Source organism: Homo sapiens, chromosome 18 (genome assembly GCF_000001405.40).
Source record: "Homo sapiens chromosome 18, GRCh38.p14 Primary Assembly".
NCBI classification, from domain to species: domain Eukaryota; kingdom Metazoa; phylum Chordata; class Mammalia; order Primates; family Hominidae; genus Homo; species Homo sapiens.
The window spans coordinates 63,885,004-63,904,690 of record NC_000018.10 but is presented as its reverse complement, the minus strand read 5'-3'; the positions used below and the strand labels follow the sequence as shown (position 1 = coordinate 63,904,690).

General features: G+C 39.3%; 1 protein-coding gene and 1 long non-coding RNA gene across 4 annotated transcripts; one reads left to right on the top strand and one right to left on the bottom strand.

Annotated features, from left to right (window-relative positions):
• Positions 1 to 802: 802 nt before the first annotated feature.
• Positions 803 to 16,986, bottom strand: SERPINB2 (serpin family B member 2). 3 transcript variants are annotated; one of them, NM_001143818.2, is made up of 9 exons: positions 16,921 to 16,986; positions 14,596 to 14,853; positions 13,079 to 13,255; positions 9,308 to 9,427; positions 7,472 to 7,600; positions 6,847 to 6,964; positions 2,809 to 2,951; positions 2,123 to 2,287; positions 803 to 1,790 (listed from the first exon to the last, which is right to left on the bottom strand). In NM_001143818.2, exons 3-9 carry the CDS (start codon positions 13,244 to 13,246, stop codon positions 1,386 to 1,388), a joined length of 1,248 nt encoding a protein of 415 aa, NP_001137290.1. In that variant the 5' UTR covers positions 13,247 to 13,255; positions 14,596 to 14,853; positions 16,921 to 16,986; the 3' UTR covers positions 803 to 1,385. The 3 variants fall into 3 exon arrangements, with proteins under 3 accessions (NP_001137290.1, XP_024306960.1, NP_002566.1); XM_024451192.2 differs by having other exon boundaries at positions 13,791 to 16,986; NM_002575.3 differs by lacking the exon at positions 14,596 to 14,853.
• LOC124904356 (uncharacterized) lies at positions 10,155 to 19,405 on the top strand. The gene is made up of 3 exons (XR_007066466.1): positions 10,155 to 10,238; positions 11,972 to 12,070; positions 19,234 to 19,405. It is a non-coding gene; the product is annotated as an uncharacterized LOC124904356 (long non-coding RNA).
• Positions 19,406 to 19,687: the final 282 nt, after the last annotated feature.

The following is a 19,687-nucleotide window of genomic DNA, read 5'->3' as shown; positions in this document are numbered from 1 at the left end:
ATATATATGAACTCATTTAGTCATTATAGCAATATGATAAAAACAGTTTTTTCTTTAGTTTTCACTGAGAGAAAACTGAAGCACAAAGAAGCACCATGGTTGGCCTGTGTTGAAGCTACTTGTAAGTGTTACAACTGGGATTTGGAGGCAGAGAGTCTAAGTCTTGAGGCCACTTTTTTAGCTACCATGTTCTAGTGCATCAAGCATCCCTGCCTGCCATCAAAGGGAGTGTGCTGCATTTCCAGGATCCAGCCGCACTTCTGCAGCCAGACTCTGTTGTTCAGGCCCCCAACCTACAATTTGCCTTATTTCTCAGGTCTTCAATTATGTTCTCCTCTGCCTCTGACTCATTCAAAAGCATTACTGCTATTAGAAACAAACACACTTAGAAAGAGCCATCTTATGTTTCCCCTCCTGCTCTTGCACCCAACCCATCTCCCATCTTCACTGCTTGCAACTCTGAGCTCAATGACTGAGGCCTTCTTCTGTGTCTGGACCACTGGACTTGGTCATTAATCCTGGTGTCCTTAATGTTTAGACAGTGGTTTCCCCAAAGGACTCTAACCTAGACTATTCTGAATTGCTATGTCTTTGCTGCTGTGAGAAAGCAGCTCTAACCCATTTTTCATACAACCCCATCCCACTGACCCTCAACATTGGGTCTTTTTGAATGAAGGTTGTTATGTCCTTGGCTCCTTCATCCTGTCTATTTTTTCTGAGTTCTCACAAGTGAGTCATAATGCTCAACTCCTAGGAGTCAAGGTCTATGATCTGCAGACCTAATGAAATGACAACAAATGTATTGTTGTTTGGAAGCAGGTTTATTTATTATATACTTGCAATTGAATATAAGATACAGACATATATATGTGTTATGTATTTCTAGAAATGCACATAACATATATTTGCCTATTGTTTAATGTTTTTTCCAGATATTTATTACAGAAGGGCATGGAGGGATACCTACTTATTCTTCATTATGAGAACAATTAAAGGCATTTATTAGATAGGAAATTAACAGATCATCTGCTTCTATAACTTTATTAGCTACATTAAATAGGCAGTGAGCAATAATTTAAAAACTCACCATTATATAAAATAATAAATAACAAAGTAAAAGTTAATGTTATAAAAATAAACTGATAGTAAGGAAAATCTAAATGGGCATGATCCCATTTTAGAAGACCAAATGATTAATAGGGTTGTCATGTTATAATAGACAATTGTCTAATTATTTCTGTGTTTTTATTTAGTGGGTAGCAGAAGTTGTTCAGAAGAGCAGAAATATGTAGAAAACATCTCTAAATTTTTGGCAATTTGAAATAGCAATTCTGAGGCACACAGCTCATCTACAAAAATCTTTTGCAGAAGCAGCACGCTTAGTTTTAGGGTGAGGAAAATCTGCCGAAAAATAAAATGCAGTTGGTTATCTTATGCATAATAAGAAAAAGAAAAGGATGATCTGCCACAAACTGTGGGCCTCCATGTCCAGTTCTCCCTGTCATAACACCTCCTGTGCCAGCGGCTGCTTCAGTGCCCTCCTCATTCACATCCACCATGGCTTGGTGGAACACTTCAGAAAGAAACAGGTCATTCCTCTCCGACATCCCTGAGAAATTGGCCCGTCCCTTGTTGAAGGCGTCCTCCATGCCCATGCTTCTCAGAATGGATCTGAGTTCATAATGCTCTTCTAATTTGAACTGGGGTATGTATACCTCAACTTCATCTTCAGCCATTTTGTCTTTGCTGGTCCACTTGTTGAGTTTGTCATAGGTTATTTCACTTTCCAGCTGCAAAGCAAAACAAAACAAAACAAACAAAAGAAAATACAGCAAGTATTAGAAAGAAGGAAAACAACTTTAAGTCTAATATTAAAAATCAGTGACTTTACTATATTGTGGGTGATATAGAAAGTTAACAGATTGGTCAGATTTTTACAAGAAGGTAACACGTATGACATAGTTAAGGCTTTGAATGAAATGTAGAGGCATGCCATATTTACTATCAACTGTTTCATATATTTCCATGAGAAATTACCACACCATTTGTAAGGAGTATATATTCATCTCATCTCACGAAAGGTAGGTATAGCCCCAGAAACTTAAATATCTGAATGTCTTACCAGCTCCAAGCCAGTGGACACATCGGCAATTTCATCTGGAAGCAACAAGAACATGCTAACATCTCCAGCATATGGGAGTTCTAGAATCTGAGCCTTTAGGTCTTCTATGTATCCAATGTTTAGCTTTTCACGCAAGTACATCATCTGTACAGGTGTGCGCTGAGCCTAATATTATTAAAAGGTAAAATATGGAAGTCGATTATAAGATATCAAGAGATTTACAATTAGACATAAAGGAGGATTGGTTCTACTTTAGTGTAGGATAAATGTGATTTTTTTAAATCAACAAAATAAATTATTTGTACATCCTTACAGTGGGTACTCTGATGTTATTAGCTTGTTCAACTTTATACCCATTATTTAGTAAGATGGACAACAATGGTAATGACAACCATAATTCTAAAACACTTGTTTAGTTCTTACTATGGGCCAGGAACCGTGCCATGTCTCAATATTTACAGCCCTTTGAAATAAGTGGTAGAGCCAACGTTGGAGTCTGGGCATGTATAATTAAAAAGCCACAGTCTTCCCCTTTACCTATACTGTTTCTAAAGAGTCAATCAACTGTCCAACATGCATAACTTCTAACTAGCAAGTCTATAATGAGCGGTCTCTAATTTTTCTGTCTATATCTTGTCAAAAGCCCTAAAATATATGCTAGGAAGATGTATTTTGTTGTCTCATACCGAGTTTACACGGAAAGGATAAAGCCCATTTAGTTTCTTCTCAAATGGAGTTTTCCACTTTCCTTTGAAGTAGACAGCATTCACCAGGACCATCCTGGTATCCCCATCTACAGAACCTTCAGGTAACAAGTTTGGGATTTTGCCTACAGAAAACATAACATATATTTAGGTTTCATAATCAAGAACTGTGAAATTACTTACTGAATCTTCTGAGTAGCCATCAAACTAAATTCTTCAAATTGCAGAGTTGTTAATCTTCAAGCTAAAGTTTTTTAGGTTTATTTAAAGCAAAATTAAAATTGAAACAAATTTCCCAAAAGCTTGCAAAATCCAAGAAAAAATGAAGAAATAATGCATTTAAAATTTAGACCGCCTATCAAGTTTGGAATGGAGATTTTCACTCCCTTTTATATTCTTTTCTCAAAGCTTGGCAGTTGAAAGTTATTCAAATCAGAGGGAAGTGAAAGAGAGGTTCTTAGGGAATATAATAGTGCCTTTCCAAAATATATCATGTACTGCTAGATCTGGTCTAGATAGTCTGAGGATCTGACTTACTCATTTATTCAAAAACGTTTTGTAAAAAATATACTAGACCTAAATTAAGAGTAGTGCAGATACAAGAGATGAGAAAGGAAGAATTATCCTGGATGAGCCTAGAACACTGGGGGAGACATTCAAAATCAGTTGTGAAACCCTGTGTGATAACTTCTGTAATTGAGCTAAATAATATATTGAGTACTATGATCATACAGAGAAGGGAGTGAAGGAGTAAGCCCGAGAAGATTGACAGAAACAATGACAAATGAGTGTGGTCATTTAAAAAAATGAAATTGGTTTAAGAAGCAGTTTGTTTATAGTTAGTACTCGCTCTGCAGTATTCCAAGCATCAAAATATATTATTTTGATACTCTATTAGGTGGGTTTTATTAGTGTCATTTTATGCAAAAGGACACCACCAGGTTAGCAGTCTTCCCAACGTTACAATGCTGGTAAGCTTGTAAAAATTCTGCCTCCACAGTCAAAACTACTGACAAATACAAGACTCTTAACAAATTAATAGGTCAATGTGGTTTTGAAGTAGGAGGTGGGACCTGACTCTGGAGGCAGGTTTTAGACACCAGGCCAAATTGAGGGCTAGCTAAAATGGGGACCAGGGACAGGATGGAAGCAGTGTACCATGTCAGTTTACCATTGTGATGGCAACACCTTGGAGTTACCACCTCTTTCTGTGGCAATGACCTGATGACCCAAAAGTTATTCCCCGTTCCCTAGAAATTTCTGCGTAAACTGCCCCTTAATCTACATGTAATTAAAAGTAGGTATAAATATGACCCCCAAACTGCCCTGAGCTGTGCCTCTCAGCACAGTGCCTGGGGTAGCCCTTCTCTGCAGGAGGAATCATGGAGCTGTAATACTGCCACTTCAATAAAGCTGTTTTCTTCTACCCTACCTCCAGCTCACCCTTGAATACTTTCCTGGGTGAAGCCAAGAACCCTTGAAGGCTAAGCCCCACTTTGGAGCTTGCCTGCCTTGCATCAGTTTCATCTTCAATGTATTCATTTAATATATACATTCAATATATTTCCCAAGCTATTAAAATTTTTGGTTAGTATTGGGGTATAGTAATGTTGTGATGTATATGATAAAACTAGTATTTGATCATAGCATGATGAAACAGACAATTCTCTCCAATTCTTACAAAAGCTGGTAAAACAATCTGCCAAAATAGCTGCTTGGCATTTTGGCAAAATAACTGATTGACTTACAGCCATTTAGCACAATGTCTAAAGAGAAAAACAATTCATGCCATTCTTTAAAGAAGGCAAAACTTCCATGTGTCTCTTTAATTTTGCTCTCCATTTTTACTTGAACTTTTGATTTAAATCATCTTTCTCTGCTTCCTTTGTGTCAGTGGTCTGTCAATATTTTAGAACAGTATTTCACAAATCCACAATGAAAATGAAGAACTAAAAGGAAATCAATTATTTTCAGATAAACAAATAAATATATATTTTTTGAAATCCCATAGCACTTAGTTTATGTGCATTTTCCATTGTGGTAATTAATAAAGCAAGACACCAAACTATTTCTTGAAACAATGTCTTAAACATAAGAGTTAAATGAAAATCCTTAAAAAAATAAGTTATAAAATTTTTAAACATCCGATTGAGGAATTCTGGAGTTAGACTAAGGATCAGAAGAAGAAGCAACCCTGGCTTTACCGCTACCAGTGGGATCTTAGGGGAGCCGGCTAATCCCCTGGGAACAGGATGCTCCAACCACAAATTGGTAAGATGGATAGGAGCTCTCTTAGGACATTTTCAATCCTAACAGATCATAAATGAATGAAATACTTACACAATTCTGAATTCATAATCATCTCTGTTTCTTAGAAATACATTTATATGTTATTATTCAGCAATTGTTTACTTAAGGCCTACAACTCTACCTGGAAATTCAGAAGAATGAAGGATTTTCACTGTCAGCAAAAAACTGTGCAAATTTTTGTGGGGGCATAGGATAAGTGTGACATACTGGACCTACCCAAAAATAATTAGAGCCTGAGAGGAAAAGCAAAACAAACTAACAAAAATCAGTTCCATAATTGTTTAAGGCCATATATGGCTAACACTAATGTGACTTGTGAAGCTGAAAAAGCAGATGAGGAGATGAGAAGAAGAAAAGATCAGGAAGTAATTGGGAGTCACTTCCAGGAAAGAGTAAGACTTTGGCTGCAATTTAAACTGCAACTTAAATCCTGTAGTTGAGGCATCCTCAGAAACAAAGTCTAGAGGCAGCAATGAGTGTTTAAGGAGCTCCAAGGGCCAGTGGTAGCCAAGCACAGTCAACTGGATTACTGAGAACTCAGAAGTCAAGGTAAAGAATGAGACCTTCTCCTGAGGACAGTAGGAGGTCACTGACAGTTTTTAGTGTGGGAATAGCATAATAAGTGTACTGCATCACCTCTTTAATTTCACCTCCTTCCCTTGGCCCTCCACACTGCAGTCAGACCAGACTCTATTCTTCTCCTTAGGGTTACCTCTGGACCTTTGCATATTCTGTGCACTCTGTCTGGAAATCTCCCCCCAGGCATGCACCCTCCACCTGGCCAGCTCCAGCCTGTCTTCCCAATTACAATTTAATCATTTTTAAATCCAGTCAGATGCCTTTCCTGTGTACTCCCACATAGCACCTGTACTTCTCAATGAAAGCACTGACTACTACTCTATAGCAATTGCCAACATGACTGAATCCCTCCTCTATAGGCTCTATGGTGGCAGGATTTACCATTTTTATCTTTATCTCCACATATAGTTTCTGGAATATGGTGTGTGGTGGATAAATATTTGTTGACTAAGTGAATGAACTTAATAGAACTTAATGAATGAATGAATTCAATGAATAAATGACTTAATAAACTAAATTACAATGAATAAATGATTCAATTAAATAATTTATTCATTGTAAAATATACAGAGGGAGGCAGGAGCCTGTGAAACAATTAAAAGCATGAGTTAAAATGGTAGACGTGACTTAGATAATCAAGGAGGGATGAAGCAGAGACCAAAAAAACTTGACAATGGATTGGCTTTGAATGGTGAAAGAGAAGAAAGAGTGAAAATAATTTTATGATTCTTCCCTCCTCCACTGCCTGTATTCTTTATAGCTCACACCATTTACTAAGCTCAGGGTCAAGCCTTGTTTTCTTTTTGTCCACAGTGGGCATAGACTCACAATTATTTCAATGCTGATATTTCCTATTTTGAAAGCTTCTGCCTCCTTTCATATTCTATCCTCAAGCAATATCCAAAATCAAATATTTAAGTACTAAACATATGTCTTCTATTAGTAGGCCTCAATTATTTCTTCTCAGTTAAAACACCACTGAGCTAATCAGGAATAAATTCACATCCACCAAAGTAACTGCAGTTGGACAAATTGTAAAGGGGTGAGGGCTAACTAAGTTCATGGATGGAAAAAGATAGATCAGAGTTTTCTAACTGGAAAGAAGTAAATAAAATATTTTCTTGGATTTACCTTTGGTTTGAGTCTTGACCCAGGAATTAATCTTTTTTCTAGCTTCTTCTGCACATTCTAGGAAGTCTACTGCCTGGGGTTCTGAGGAGTAATATTTCTGACAGAGTCGAATATATTCCTTTAAAGCAAGAAAATGACAAAGGCTACATAAAATACATACCAAACAAGCCATGGCATAATGGTGAATTATGGTCTTCCCATTGAAATTAGGAGACCTGGGGTAGGGTGGGAGTGGAGGTTGGCTATGGAAGGCAGGTGCTGAAGGGGGAAAGAGTGCAGACCCCTTTGTCCACGCTTACTCCCCAACTCTATCCACCCTCTTGTACTCCTTGCATTATAGAGACAGAATAAAAGGAAAGAGGTTTGACTTGGGGGATAGTGTCTCTGGAAAACAGTTGCATTTGTTTTCCTGATTTATGACTCTGAGATTGGGACATTTGCAATGGGAAGAGGAGGAAGCCCCAGAGGGTACAGGAAGGGCAGCTGTTACGCAAGGCCAGCCCTAGGGAGCTGGTGTGGAATTCCAACTCTGCTTTTATGAACTGTTGAATTGTAGAGAACTGCTTTGAAAGTGACTTCATTACTTGTTTGGGATCCAGCCATTTCAATTACAGGTTTCACTTACTTCCCGGAAGCTCGCAGACTTCTCACCAAACAGCTTATTGACACTTTCCAGTAAATAATTCCCTGTGGATGCATTGATTGCAGAGCTGAGAGAGCGGAAGGATGAATGGATTTTATCTGCAGCTTGTGCCTTGAAAAGAAAGAAGGAATTCTTTATATATAACACAGAACTACTAAACAAGATAGTTCTTAAGCCATGGTAATAGTTTTTGAATACAATCATGAAATGCTATATTAATACATACTTTATTTTTGGTACATTAGAGGAATCTTTGAGAAAATCATTTCGATAAGGATGTGGTACATTAAAACTAATAAGGTGAATTTTAATTTCTTTCCAATTTTGCTCTGTCTATGGATTGGATTTAACCAGGTGACCAACAGCCTAGAAGAAAGGCCCCTTCTCAGTTTCCTAAACTTCAAAGTCTCTAAGGAATTTTTGTTGTATTTATAAGATGGATAAGTTCTGGGGATCTAATGTACAGTATAATGACTATAGTTAATAAGATTGTGTTCATTAATAGTTATAGTTAATAAAACTGTTTACTTGAAATTTGTGAAGAATATATTTTTTAAGTGTCCTCACTATACATACACACATACATACAAATGGTGGGTAATTGTAGTGATGGATGTGCTCATTAATTTGACTGTAATCATTTCACAATGTATAGGTATAGCAAGTCATCACACTGTACATCTTGAACATGTACAATTTTTATTTGTCCATTATACCTCAGTAAAGCTGGCAGGGAGGAAATGTTGCCTTAGTAATGATCTTACAAAGTTCATATAGCTTCTCTAGATACCTATTTTATGGGGCAAACTATGCAGTGGAAAACATGGGTTTTAGAAAACCACAAAAGTGAATGGTTATTTCAGTTCTCAAACTGAAGTTTGTAAGCACCATGTCAGACACAGGGCTTGGTCACAGCAGCAGCCTGTCCTAGGGCAGGGGACAGAGCCCTCCTGATGGACTGCCAGGTACCACAGAACACCTGGCGGAATCTCCACATGATCAGGATCCTGTCCACCTCCTCTAGCCCATAATTCCCTGGGCAATGGGTAGAAGGAGCTTCAGAGTGCCCAGGAAGAGAGCTTTGGGAGATACCTCTTCATAATCTACCTCATAAGCATGACTGTGGAAGTTGGTTGCCAACAGGAGCAGTCTATACTCAGTTTTTATAATTTAACTGGATAGCTGACATTTAAGGAAATGGAGTACTGAGGAAAGGTGTTACTCCCCGAGATAGCTGATTGATAAATAGATAAGATAGACAGATGACAGAGAAGATAGATGATAAATAGATGATTCATAAAATATATAGATAGATAGGATTGATAGATGTATGATAGGTAAGATAGATGAGAGAGATCAATGATAGATGATAGATTAGATAGATAGAAGGAAAGTTACCTGAAGGTCAGTGATTTCTCATGCAATCATTGGGCCCAGCCTTCTGCCATTTCTCAATCAATTGTCAGTCCCTACCCTCTCTCCTCTGGAAATCCTTATCCATACACGTGTATTCTAGGAGTCTCTACTGTGGATTTATGATAAATTACACATACCTCACCAATGACAGAGAGGCATGAGAGAATTTAGAAGTAAATAGGCTTGGCCTAAAACTCATGAAGTCTGGATTCTGTCCTGGCTCGTCTCTCGTTATGGGTATCATCTTAGGACATGTTTTTCTTAATGACTCTGAGTCTTAGTTTTCTTTCTGTGAATGGGGGAGGGTATATTCGCTTCCTTCCCAGTCTGACACTGTGGCTTTAAGACAGGAAGATTGCAAAAATAAACCACAAAAGAAATTTGGACCAGTAAGTCAGATACCTGCAAAATCGCATCAGGATAACTACCCTTCTGGATCTGCTGCATGAACCCACAGCTGGTAAAGTTCTCTGGAGTCATGGGGGTAACTGCATTGGCTCCCACTTCATTAAACTGAAGCACCTGCAATCAGAATTAGAGAAAACGGTTACACTTGCCCACGGATTTACTGAACTTTTAAAACAGATGGCTATCAGGTGGCTCTAAAATGGTCCTAGATCTTTTCCCTTCCCTTATACATGGGGAACAACCATAGATACTCAATACTCTTTCTGTGTAATATAAAAGTATCAGCCAACCTAAATTTCCCTTATAGAAAACAGCATGAGGTGTTTTAGATTAATTTATATCCTGGCCATTTTGGAAAACAAATTGTTATTATGAAATGATTTAAAACCTCTTCCCCAAATTATCTAAATTATATCCAACCAATAAATGGTCTTGAAAAAAAAATGCCAGTATTTTAAAGAAAGTCACAAGATTAACTCAGAACCTTGTGTGTCTCTCTCTTTTCAGTGGCCTTATACACAAAATACTTTCAATCTGTCAAAAACTACAAGCCAGAGTCAGCTAAGGCATAAAACAGGTCATGCAATATTAACAGGGTTCACCTAAAATATTTACACATACCATATTCATACACAGAGAAATTTATGTCCATGTGAGGGACAAGTTGGTCTGATGACACTGTGAATCTCTTCGTATAGTAAGTAGGCAGTTTTGGCTGACACGGGGAAGCTGGCAGCAAGGACTGTCCCCTCTGAAGCTTCCTCAGATCCCCTTCCCACAACACTGCTGCCTGCCCGCCTTGGTCTGCCAGTCTTAATACCTGCAAGCTGGCCCTGCCTCCCAGCCACCCACCCCATCCCACCTCCTTGGGAACCCTTGGTCCTGCAGCACCTCCCTATGGGGTCCCTGAGGAGAAGCTGATCTGGTAAGTGGCTTGATGGTTGGGGTTCTGCTAATGAAGTTAATTAAGGCAGCCTTGTCCAGCAAGTTGGTGAATTTCTGGGCTAGAAGGAGAGGTGTTAGGGTTTGTGAGGTCTTTTTCTGCTCTTTGAGTCATACATCGTAAGTCCTGCCTAGTACTCTCTGAAAAGAAGTGGTGCAACTCCACCCTCACGTAAAAGAAGAAGATTTCCTACGACAGCTTGGCTGGTTTTCCTCTCTTCCAAGGAAATTGACCCTTAAATCAGGGTTCTTTGGGCTAGCACTAAAGCCTTCCTGAATCAGTGTTAAAGTCACTCAGGGAGATGTCCCTGCAAAAGTGGGACTGTGAGCTGCCCCTAGTCCACACAAAGGCCACAGAGAAAATAGTGAGGCAGTTTGGCCTGGATGGGTCTGTTGCCTCACTGTAAGGAAAAGAGCTTATATCCTAATTCCCACAGACCTATGCCATCCAGGAGCTTATATCTTTTATGTATTCTTTTCTTTCACTACAAATGTACCACTTCTAACAGCTACAGCAATTCTCAACTGTGTGGCCTCTTCTTGCCCTGATTCCCTCATCTGTAAAATGAGTACGGTAATCATCGTACCTACCTCATAATATTTTGTCTTATGTGAGTAAATTTATAAGAAGTTCTTAGAAAGATGCCTGGCTAAGGCACTAATAAGTATTGGTTGTTATTATAGCAACTGCTACTAAGTGCCTTACATAGTACCTCTAATCTTCACAACTTTCTTGCATGCTACACATTTTTATTCCCATTTTGTAGATGAGAAAACTGAGATGCAAATGGTTTCAATGTCCTCACACACATGTAGTAAGGAACAAAGCCATGACTCAAACACAGATACGTCTGTCCCCAAAGTCTGTGCTGCTTTCTCCAGCCAATAAATGTCTTTTTCTTTTTATCTGGGAAGCAATCATATTAACATTTGAATTTCAAAATCTACACATGCAACAGAGTTGTCAAAAGACGATATATATAGAGTCTCAAAAAAAAAAAGACTATATAGAATCCTCGCATAGTCCCAAAGGCTTAAAGCACTTCTTAGACACAGAAAAGCTGTCTTGTGTCCAGAGCAATCAGTTTATTTTCCTCTAGTACCAAAATCAAGATTTTTACTTTAACAACCCAGAGCACTTCATTTAGCATTTGCTCCCAAAATATATTGCTACTGATTCCTTTACATTTAAAAAACAAAAAAACCTAGGCCGGGTGCACTGGCTCACGCCTATAATCCCAGCACTTTGGGAGGCCGAGGCAGGTGGATCACAAGGTCAGGAGTTTGAGACCAGCCTGGCCAAAATGGTGAAACCCCATCTCTACTAATACAAAAATTAGATGGGCATCGTGGCAGGCGCCTGTAATCCCAGCTACTCGGGAGGCTGAGGCAGGAGAATGGCTTGAACCTGGGAGTTGGAGGTTGTAGTGAGCCAAGATCGCACCACTGCACTCCAGCCTGGGTGATAGGGCGAGACTCCATCTCAAAAAAAAGAAAGGAAAAAAGAAAAAAACCTAAGACCTGATGTTTCTAAAGCTTTTGTGCCAATTTACTATCTTTATTCTTTCAAGGCAAAAAATAAAAAATAATGGGGAAAGAATATTGCAAAAGACTACTTGTGTCAGGGAGTTGAGCAATTGAGTTTTGTTGTAAGTCTCAATGTTTAAACTGTCACAAACACAGAGATTGATTCACCCATCCCTTGTCTTCCTGCAGCAATATTGGCCAATGCTCTCTCTGTGAAACTTCAAACTTCAAATGAGGCCCACCTTACATGGGTCACCATGTGCATGGAAAGAATGTATTTACACTCAGGTACATTCTCGTGGGAAACTGGAAACCAGCCGGCGGCATCTTGGTGTGACTGCATGCACAATGCATGCGTGTCCTTAAAGCATTTAATGTTAATGTTTGTATGTGTGAATGCAAAGGAATTTTAATGATATCATGGCCACATCGAGGTCACTAACCTTGGAAGTAACATGATCACAAGAATTTTGTATGTGCTGAGTGACTATTACAGTAACGATTGCAGTGTATAATTGAAGTAGTCCGGCATAATTTCAAGGGCCCAGACTCCGTGGAAAGAGTTTCCTGACTGAGTCCACGTCCATTCACCAAGGAAGGCAGGCAGTGGCCTTGCAGAAATCCCTCACAATGATGTTGTGCATCCCATCTACCTTGGTTTTCAGGGCTGGCCATAATAATGCCAGGTCTCATTCTGCTACCGTGACCTCACAGGCATGATCTTCTGCAGCTACAACACTATCCATGCATCCTGTGGGTATAGTGAGCACCACCCTGGTATGTTTTTTTTTTTTTCCCTTTGTGATACTCTCTTAACATTATTAGAAGGAATTCTTCATAGGAATAGGGAACAAACACCACAGTGGCACAGTAATGGGAAGGAGCCCAGGCTAGGAGTTAGGAGACAGTGGGGGCTTCTCTGACACCACCAGGGCTCTCATCTGTAAAATGATATCTGTCTTAAAACTGAATGAGATAATGGGTACAAAACACTAACTTTGAAAAATAAGAATATTATATTATTAAAATATAAGATGTGGTCACTCATAACTGTGTCCAGCCTTGCAGGCTATTCAACTCCCATATGCCTTCAACAGCTACAGTTGAGGGATTCGGGGGCTTGGCTGTCTTATAGATTTGAATCTAAGGAATTTGTGTTGTAAGGATCAGTGCTTCATTACCTGTGATGATTGCTGACCTCCTGAGTTAAAATGTCTTTAGCATAAAACAAGAGCAGTTCTCCAATTCCATTCAGGAACTACTCGGCCCAAATGTGGAGCTTCAGCTCAAACTCACCTTGGCCATCTGGTCTTCGGTGCTGCCCCTGGAGCCCATGTAGACCATGGCCATGGTGGACGAGATGCTCCATGGGGAGAGGAAGAGGTTCTGGGTGGGGCTTGCTTTTGCCAGATGCTTGAATAAATTGAGGGCAAAGAGTGTGTTTGCCACACAAAGATCCTCCATTGTTTCAATCTAGAAGCAAAGAGAGGAAGAAAAAAACAGCTCTGAAACATAAGGTAACATTTTGGGTGAGGTCAGCAACAGTAGGACAGGCTGCATTCTGTGTAGGGACAGATTCCCTGTCTGTTCTTCCTCATGGAACAACATGAGGCAGGTCAGGGACAGCTTCATGGACATACCACCTGTGCAGCCGTAAAAAGCCCCTTGTTTAGCCAAATGCCCTCCTATCGCCATCTTGAAATTCTTGATAATTTTAAACAAAAGGCCCACATTTTCATTGTGCACCAGACGCTGTAAATTACATAGCCAGTCCTGAGATACATGAAGTGTTTTGTATGATGAGCAGCGACACTTTGTGGCATTCCATAGAATAACAATGACAATATATAGGGACAGGAGTAGGAATTGAAGCCAGATAGGCAGACCCTAGGATCATGCTCTCAACTTCTATGCTGCCCCCACAAGCACAACGCACACATCCACACCACACACACTGCCACACAGGAAGATATACACATATTGAAATATATGCCACCTGCATACATACCTTGTTGCATCTGGTAAGACGGTCAATCTTCTTTCTGCTTTCCTGCTTCTAAAGTGACTTTGACTCATTGTTTGAAGGTTTGGAGTTTCACCCAGCCCCTATCCCAGAACCCCTTCCCTATATGCACCACACATACCACAGCCTTACTAAAAAAGACTTCCTATACTGGGGTGTTCATTACTGGGAGGACTAGAAGACCCCCTTCTTCTGCCACCCCACCAGGTAGAAAGTCAATGCCAGGCAAGATTGCAGGGATAATCCTTAATCCCAGGCCTATGAAACTCATGTATACACCAAGGTATGAACCATCTGAGACCTTCCCTGACCTCAGGCTCTGCAGGCAACTGAATGCATGCTCACACCCAAGGTGTGTGTGTTTTTTGGTCCTGACCAATGATCGTCTTTCCAGCTGTATGTTTTGCTTTCATCATAGCTTGCAACATACCCGATAATTATCAAAATATGTAAATATACCAAACAATGCTGATACTGATCATCCCTCAGGAAACCTTCTTATGACAGTGCCTTCCCCGAACTGGGGAGGGGCTGGAAGTACCCAGGAGGAAGCATGTCCTCTGGCTCTGGTCTTGGCTGTGTACACCTGTGGTCTCACACAGCATTGCTCTCCAACAAGGACCATTGGTCGCTTCTTTCTTGCGTGAACCCTTGATTCATGAACTCTTTTTTTTTAAGAAAGTGATTGGAATTTATTTGTATTAAAATGTCTCATTTGGAATACAACCAGACTATTTTATCAAGACAAAAATAGTAAATTAAATAAAACGTATCCCTAAAACTCTCTCACCTCCTCTCCTCGTTTAATCTTTGCAGAATCTGTATGAGGTAGAGGTGATTCTCCCTATTTTATAGATTATATCCTGATGCTCAGAAACATTAAGTAACTTGTATAAGGTCACACAGCTGGTAGGTAGTGGAGCAGGGATTCAAGCCCAGGTCTGTCTAAGGAAGCCCACTCTTTCCAATGTTCCACATCGCTTCACTCGGTGGTGCATAGCTTCACTATGAAGTGTAAGAGCTTAAGCAAGTTGTAGTGCAAGAAATGCTAGAAAGAGGAAGTCAAAAGAAAAAAGTAGTAAACCTGTAATTCTACTAGAAGGCTTATTAGGAAGTAAAAACAAAAAGTCACTTTTTTTTTCTCTTGCTTCATCATAGATACTAGATTACATTGGATGGCTCAAAAATTTGTTCCTCTTCCTCTTAAAATTGTCTTCATAATTAAATAGATTTATTGTACAGATTTTTAAAATTAATTATCTCAATATCTTTTGGAAACAAACTGAGTATTAATAACACAAATAAAATATTTCTCGATCCCCATGTGAGAAATGTAAATAAGAGATCAGAGCCACAAACATAAATTTAGACTTCTCCCATACCTAAATACGTGATTCTTTGTAACAATTCATACCGGATTCTTTGTAACAATCCACATAGTAACTTTGATAGTAAAAATATTTAACTCTAAAGACAAACTAACAGAAAGTTCTGTTAATACTAAGTTAGAATTTAAGGTAACTTGATAAAGAAAAAAATTAATAAGAACAGAAGCAAATTTTCCTGGATGCATTTACTTCTTTCAAAAAAGATAGTTTCAATTATATTTTTAAATAAGGTGTAATTAATTACATTTAATGTAAAAATAATATTTGATGTCTGTATGGCAGTCACCAAATTCCTTCAGCTCCCTTTTCAATTTGCATAATTACCTGTCCAGTAAGGCTTAGTAATTTCTGTAATATGAATGAAAATATGAAAATAGAGATTGCACAGCTGGTCCATTTCAGAAGCCTAGACTGGATCACAGACTTCTGATTCCAAGTCTAATGCTTTCCTACAAACTTTTCAAATAAGGTCTGAGAGTTTCATAATTTTAGAAATCTATGAAGGCACCCATATGCAGTGTTTCCTGACTCTCAGATAAGGCCATACTTTATGTTTGAATGAAAATCTTTCAAAACAAGGCAAAATTGAAGTCATGGGGTATTGTGAAATACCACAGCCTCCTGGAACAGGTATACCTGTTGTGAATTTTTTAACATTATAGTAATTTATATGATCTCATTAACTTCCAAATAGTATGCTCTTAATTAAGGTTTAATAGTATTACTGGGATGAATTAATGGGAGTAATATGCAGGGTTGGGCTTCCTGGTGGTGTGTGTGTTGGTTCCTGCAACACAAGTTGACAAATGCACCACTGAAACTTGGCACAGGGAAGGAAGAATTTGGGAGGAGTCACCAGGCACACGGCCATTGTCTCTCACCCTGTTGGCCCTGGATGTTAGATTGGAGTTTGCTGTAGCATTTAAAACAAATTTTGTTTACAATTAGACAGTGGAAATATTTTGAAATTGACCACAAAAATTAATGAGAACTAAGAGAAAACAACAGTTTCAAGGGAATATCTCATCAAATACTGCTACATCTCCCCCAACAGAATTAAAAGCAATTTCTCCTAGTTGATGGCTTTCATAATGAATAAGTATCTTTTTATGGGATATTAAGTTATTTACTGAACCATACTTCAGTCAACCCTGCAACTACTTTGGCTGATTATTCTCTTTCACTAAATTGACCCATTATTGAACTAAACTCAATAAACATATTGTTGTACTAGATTGACCCAGCCCAAATTGCTACTTAATTTTTGCAGTTCCTGCTTTTTCATTTAAGGTGCAAATGAAGTCTTCTTTTCCTATTATTTATATACAATGTAGAGATTACATTCAATTGCTTAAATGAAAATATTTTAATGTATCTAGTTGTTTCCATCAAATTTAGTGTCAAAACAGTAGCTAGTAGAGAACATATATAATCTAATCTGTTCAATAAAATTGGCATCACAATCTGAATGTACATTTTGTTTTGGTTAATGCTACAAAGGTATTTGTTGGCTTCTGAGATTCAAAATTAAACCTTATAAATTTAATTCAAATCTTGAAATAAAATATTTTCAATTCAACAACTAAACAAGAAAACACCACTTAAATTTTACTCGCCCTCTACAAACACCCCACATCCAAATTTTCAATCTATTAATACCAGCATGAGGGAAGAGAAAACATGAAACCCTATTTCCCATAGACATGGCATGGAAATCATTGAAATACCTGGTTGTTCTCTGGTTATTCTCTGAGTTGCTGTCTGACGGGCAATGCTCCTCTGAGAGTTGTTACAGTTCAGACATGGTAATGACTGGTTTTATACAGCTTTGCCCCTCCCACATGGCATTTTTTTTTCTCCCTCTGTCTTTTGATCTGTGTCCTTTGAGTGATTCAACATTTTACTCAGGAAGACATCATTAGAATAGAAATACTTGTTTGTAAAGGCATGGTTTAAGAAATTTTGGGGGAGGATGAGGTCACTCTGAAACTTAAGAATTTGTCAATATCTACACATGCCTGTGAAAGTTAGCTAAAATCTGTCAGCCCCAGTTTCAAGATTTCCCCCACTATACTTGTGCTCAAGGATAGTATCAAATTCTACAATACTTCTTCTAGCTTTGGACAACCATGGCCTGTGGGCTTCTTCCAATATATAAATATAATGAGATTTACTCTCTCTTTTGAGCCTAGGGAGACCCAAGCGATGCTTAGGGCATGGGAGGGAAGAAAAAATCCATTTTCTGTCTTAGAAATTCTCTATTTTAATCTGTCTTACATTGTCTCAAGCTGTAATTTTCGAAATAACTCGGATTCTACCCTAATATCCTGACACAAGAAGAATTTTTCATCTTCTCTTGATTATAAAATAGATCTTATGGCCGGGTGTGGTGGCTCATGCATGTAATCCCAGCACTTTGGGAGGCCGAGGCGGGAGGATCACTTGAGGTCAGGAGTTTGAGACCAGCCTGGCCAGCATGGTGAAACCCTGTCACTACTAAAAATACAAAAATTAGCTGCACGTGGTGGCACACATCTCCAGTTCCAGCTACTTGAGAGGCTGAGGCAGAAGAATCACTTGAACCTGGGAGGTGGAGGTTGCATTGAGCTGAGACTGTGCCACTGCACTCCAGCCTGGGTGACAGAGTGAGACTCCATCTCAAAAACAAAAAATAAAATAAAAAGAAAACAGATCTTATCCTTTATTAGGAGCCATTGCCCTTTTACACGTGTTAAGTGCCCCTTTGTCCTTAGTGCTCTTCTCCCGTGAGTGCTGAGGAGTCTGGTGGTGAGCTAAGTCCCTTCTTTCTTTTCAGCCTCTGTCCAAGAAGACCCCTCTGGTAATGTCTATGTGACCAACCATCTGTTTAACTGTTTTTTGTTTTTGTTTTTGTTTTTTTGAGATCGAGTTTCACTCTTGTTGCCCAGGCTGGGGTGCAATGGCGTGATCTCTGCTCACTGCAACTCCCGCCTCTTGGGTTCAAGTGATCCTCCTGCCTCAGCCTCCTGAATAGCTGGGATTACAGGTGCCCACCACTACGACTGGCTAATTTTTGGTATTTTTAGTAGAGACGGGGTTTCACCATGTTGGCCAGGCTGGTCTCAAACTCCTGACCTCAGGCAATCCGCCCACCTCGGCCTCCCAAAGTGCTGGGATTACAGGTGTGAGCCACCGGGCCTGGCCTGTTTAACTGTTTTTTAACCACACATTGACAGCTCAACAAGTTGGGACAGATATCAATGTACCTAGAACTTCCACCACCCTTTCCTTCACTCACTTTTCAGGTGCTACTCTTTCTCACCGTATTATTTTCATTCCAGTTATTCTCAAGAGGAATGTCATGCTTCTTTCTCCCCACTGACTCACCTGTGAGGTTTGATTCACACCCCATAACTTCCATGGAGTCCATTCTGACTCTTACAACCCTCAGTGAACTTCTACGTAGAACTGCAACTTTCAGAGTTCAGGATGTGGTATAGGAATCTTATATATTCTGACAGTATCATCTGAGTTAGGATCTATCCACAAATATATACTTGGTTTCCCTTGAGCAGCAAGAACAGTGGTGAGCATCAAGCAAATTCTTACCAAATATTTTTAATGGGTGGAGTAACATGCTAAAACTCTCTAGAGAGGCCCTATACTGTGGTGAACAAGGATATGAATACTGAGAGACTCAGAAAAGTCTCAGACTCAGAATCTTCTTTTTGCCATTTACTAGTTGTATAATCTTGCACGTATTTCTCAACTACTCTAACTTCTAATTTTCTAATAATTCTATACAGCTGGTACTGTTGATTGCCTACCCCAATCAATGCCTTTCTGCTACCCTTCTTCCTAATTTTCTTCGGGTATTATTCAGAGAGCCCTTGATCTCAGGAAAGGAAAGCCTAGCTGCCAGTCTTGTAGGGGGTGTGTGTGTGTTGGGCAGGGTGGGGGTGGGTTGGAAATGGGTGGACATATAAACCCAATTCTGGACAAAGCGTTTTGGGAGAAATCCACTGGGGAATGTTTGGCAAAAGGTTTTCTTTCCTTAACAGAAGAAAGCATGAAGAAAGAACCTCCATATCTATACCATCCCTTCCTACCCAACTTTGAGCATGGTTGTGCGAGGATGTGATGCCAGAAGATGCCACAGTCACAGTCATATTTCAACCATATAGGAAGACTGAGAAATTTGCAGCGATCCCAAACAAGAGCTCTGACATTGGCCAGTGCTAGAAACCACCTACCTCTAGTTTTTGTTCTTGCTGTTGCTGAGATATTATAATAAACAAGTCTGTATTGTTTAAGCAGCATTCGACGCTATGGGTTCTCTGTCATTTGCAGCCAAAAGCATTCTAAATAATACAGGCTGCTGTGAATAATCAACGAGATGATGCCTGCCAAGTCCTTAGCAGATTCTCGTTGGTAGTGAGTGCCGCATAATATTAGCTGATATATAATAGGGTGACTCTTAGTGTCCGGTTTGGGAGCTGCCTTTCTGCCTAGATT

Coding starts and splice junctions, on each gene's coding strand:
- SERPINB2 (XM_024451192.2), bottom strand. CDS start 13,246: ATGGAGGATCTTTGTGTGGCAAACACACTCTTTGCCCTCAATTTATTC. Junction 6,965..7,471: donor AGTCTGCGAGCTTCCGGGAA/GTAAGTGAAACC, acceptor CTTGCTTTAAAG/GAATATATTCGACTCTGTCA. Junction 1,791..2,122: donor TGTCCACTGGCTTGGAGCTG/GTAAGACATTCA, acceptor TTTGCTTTGCAG/CTGGAAAGTGAAATAACCTA.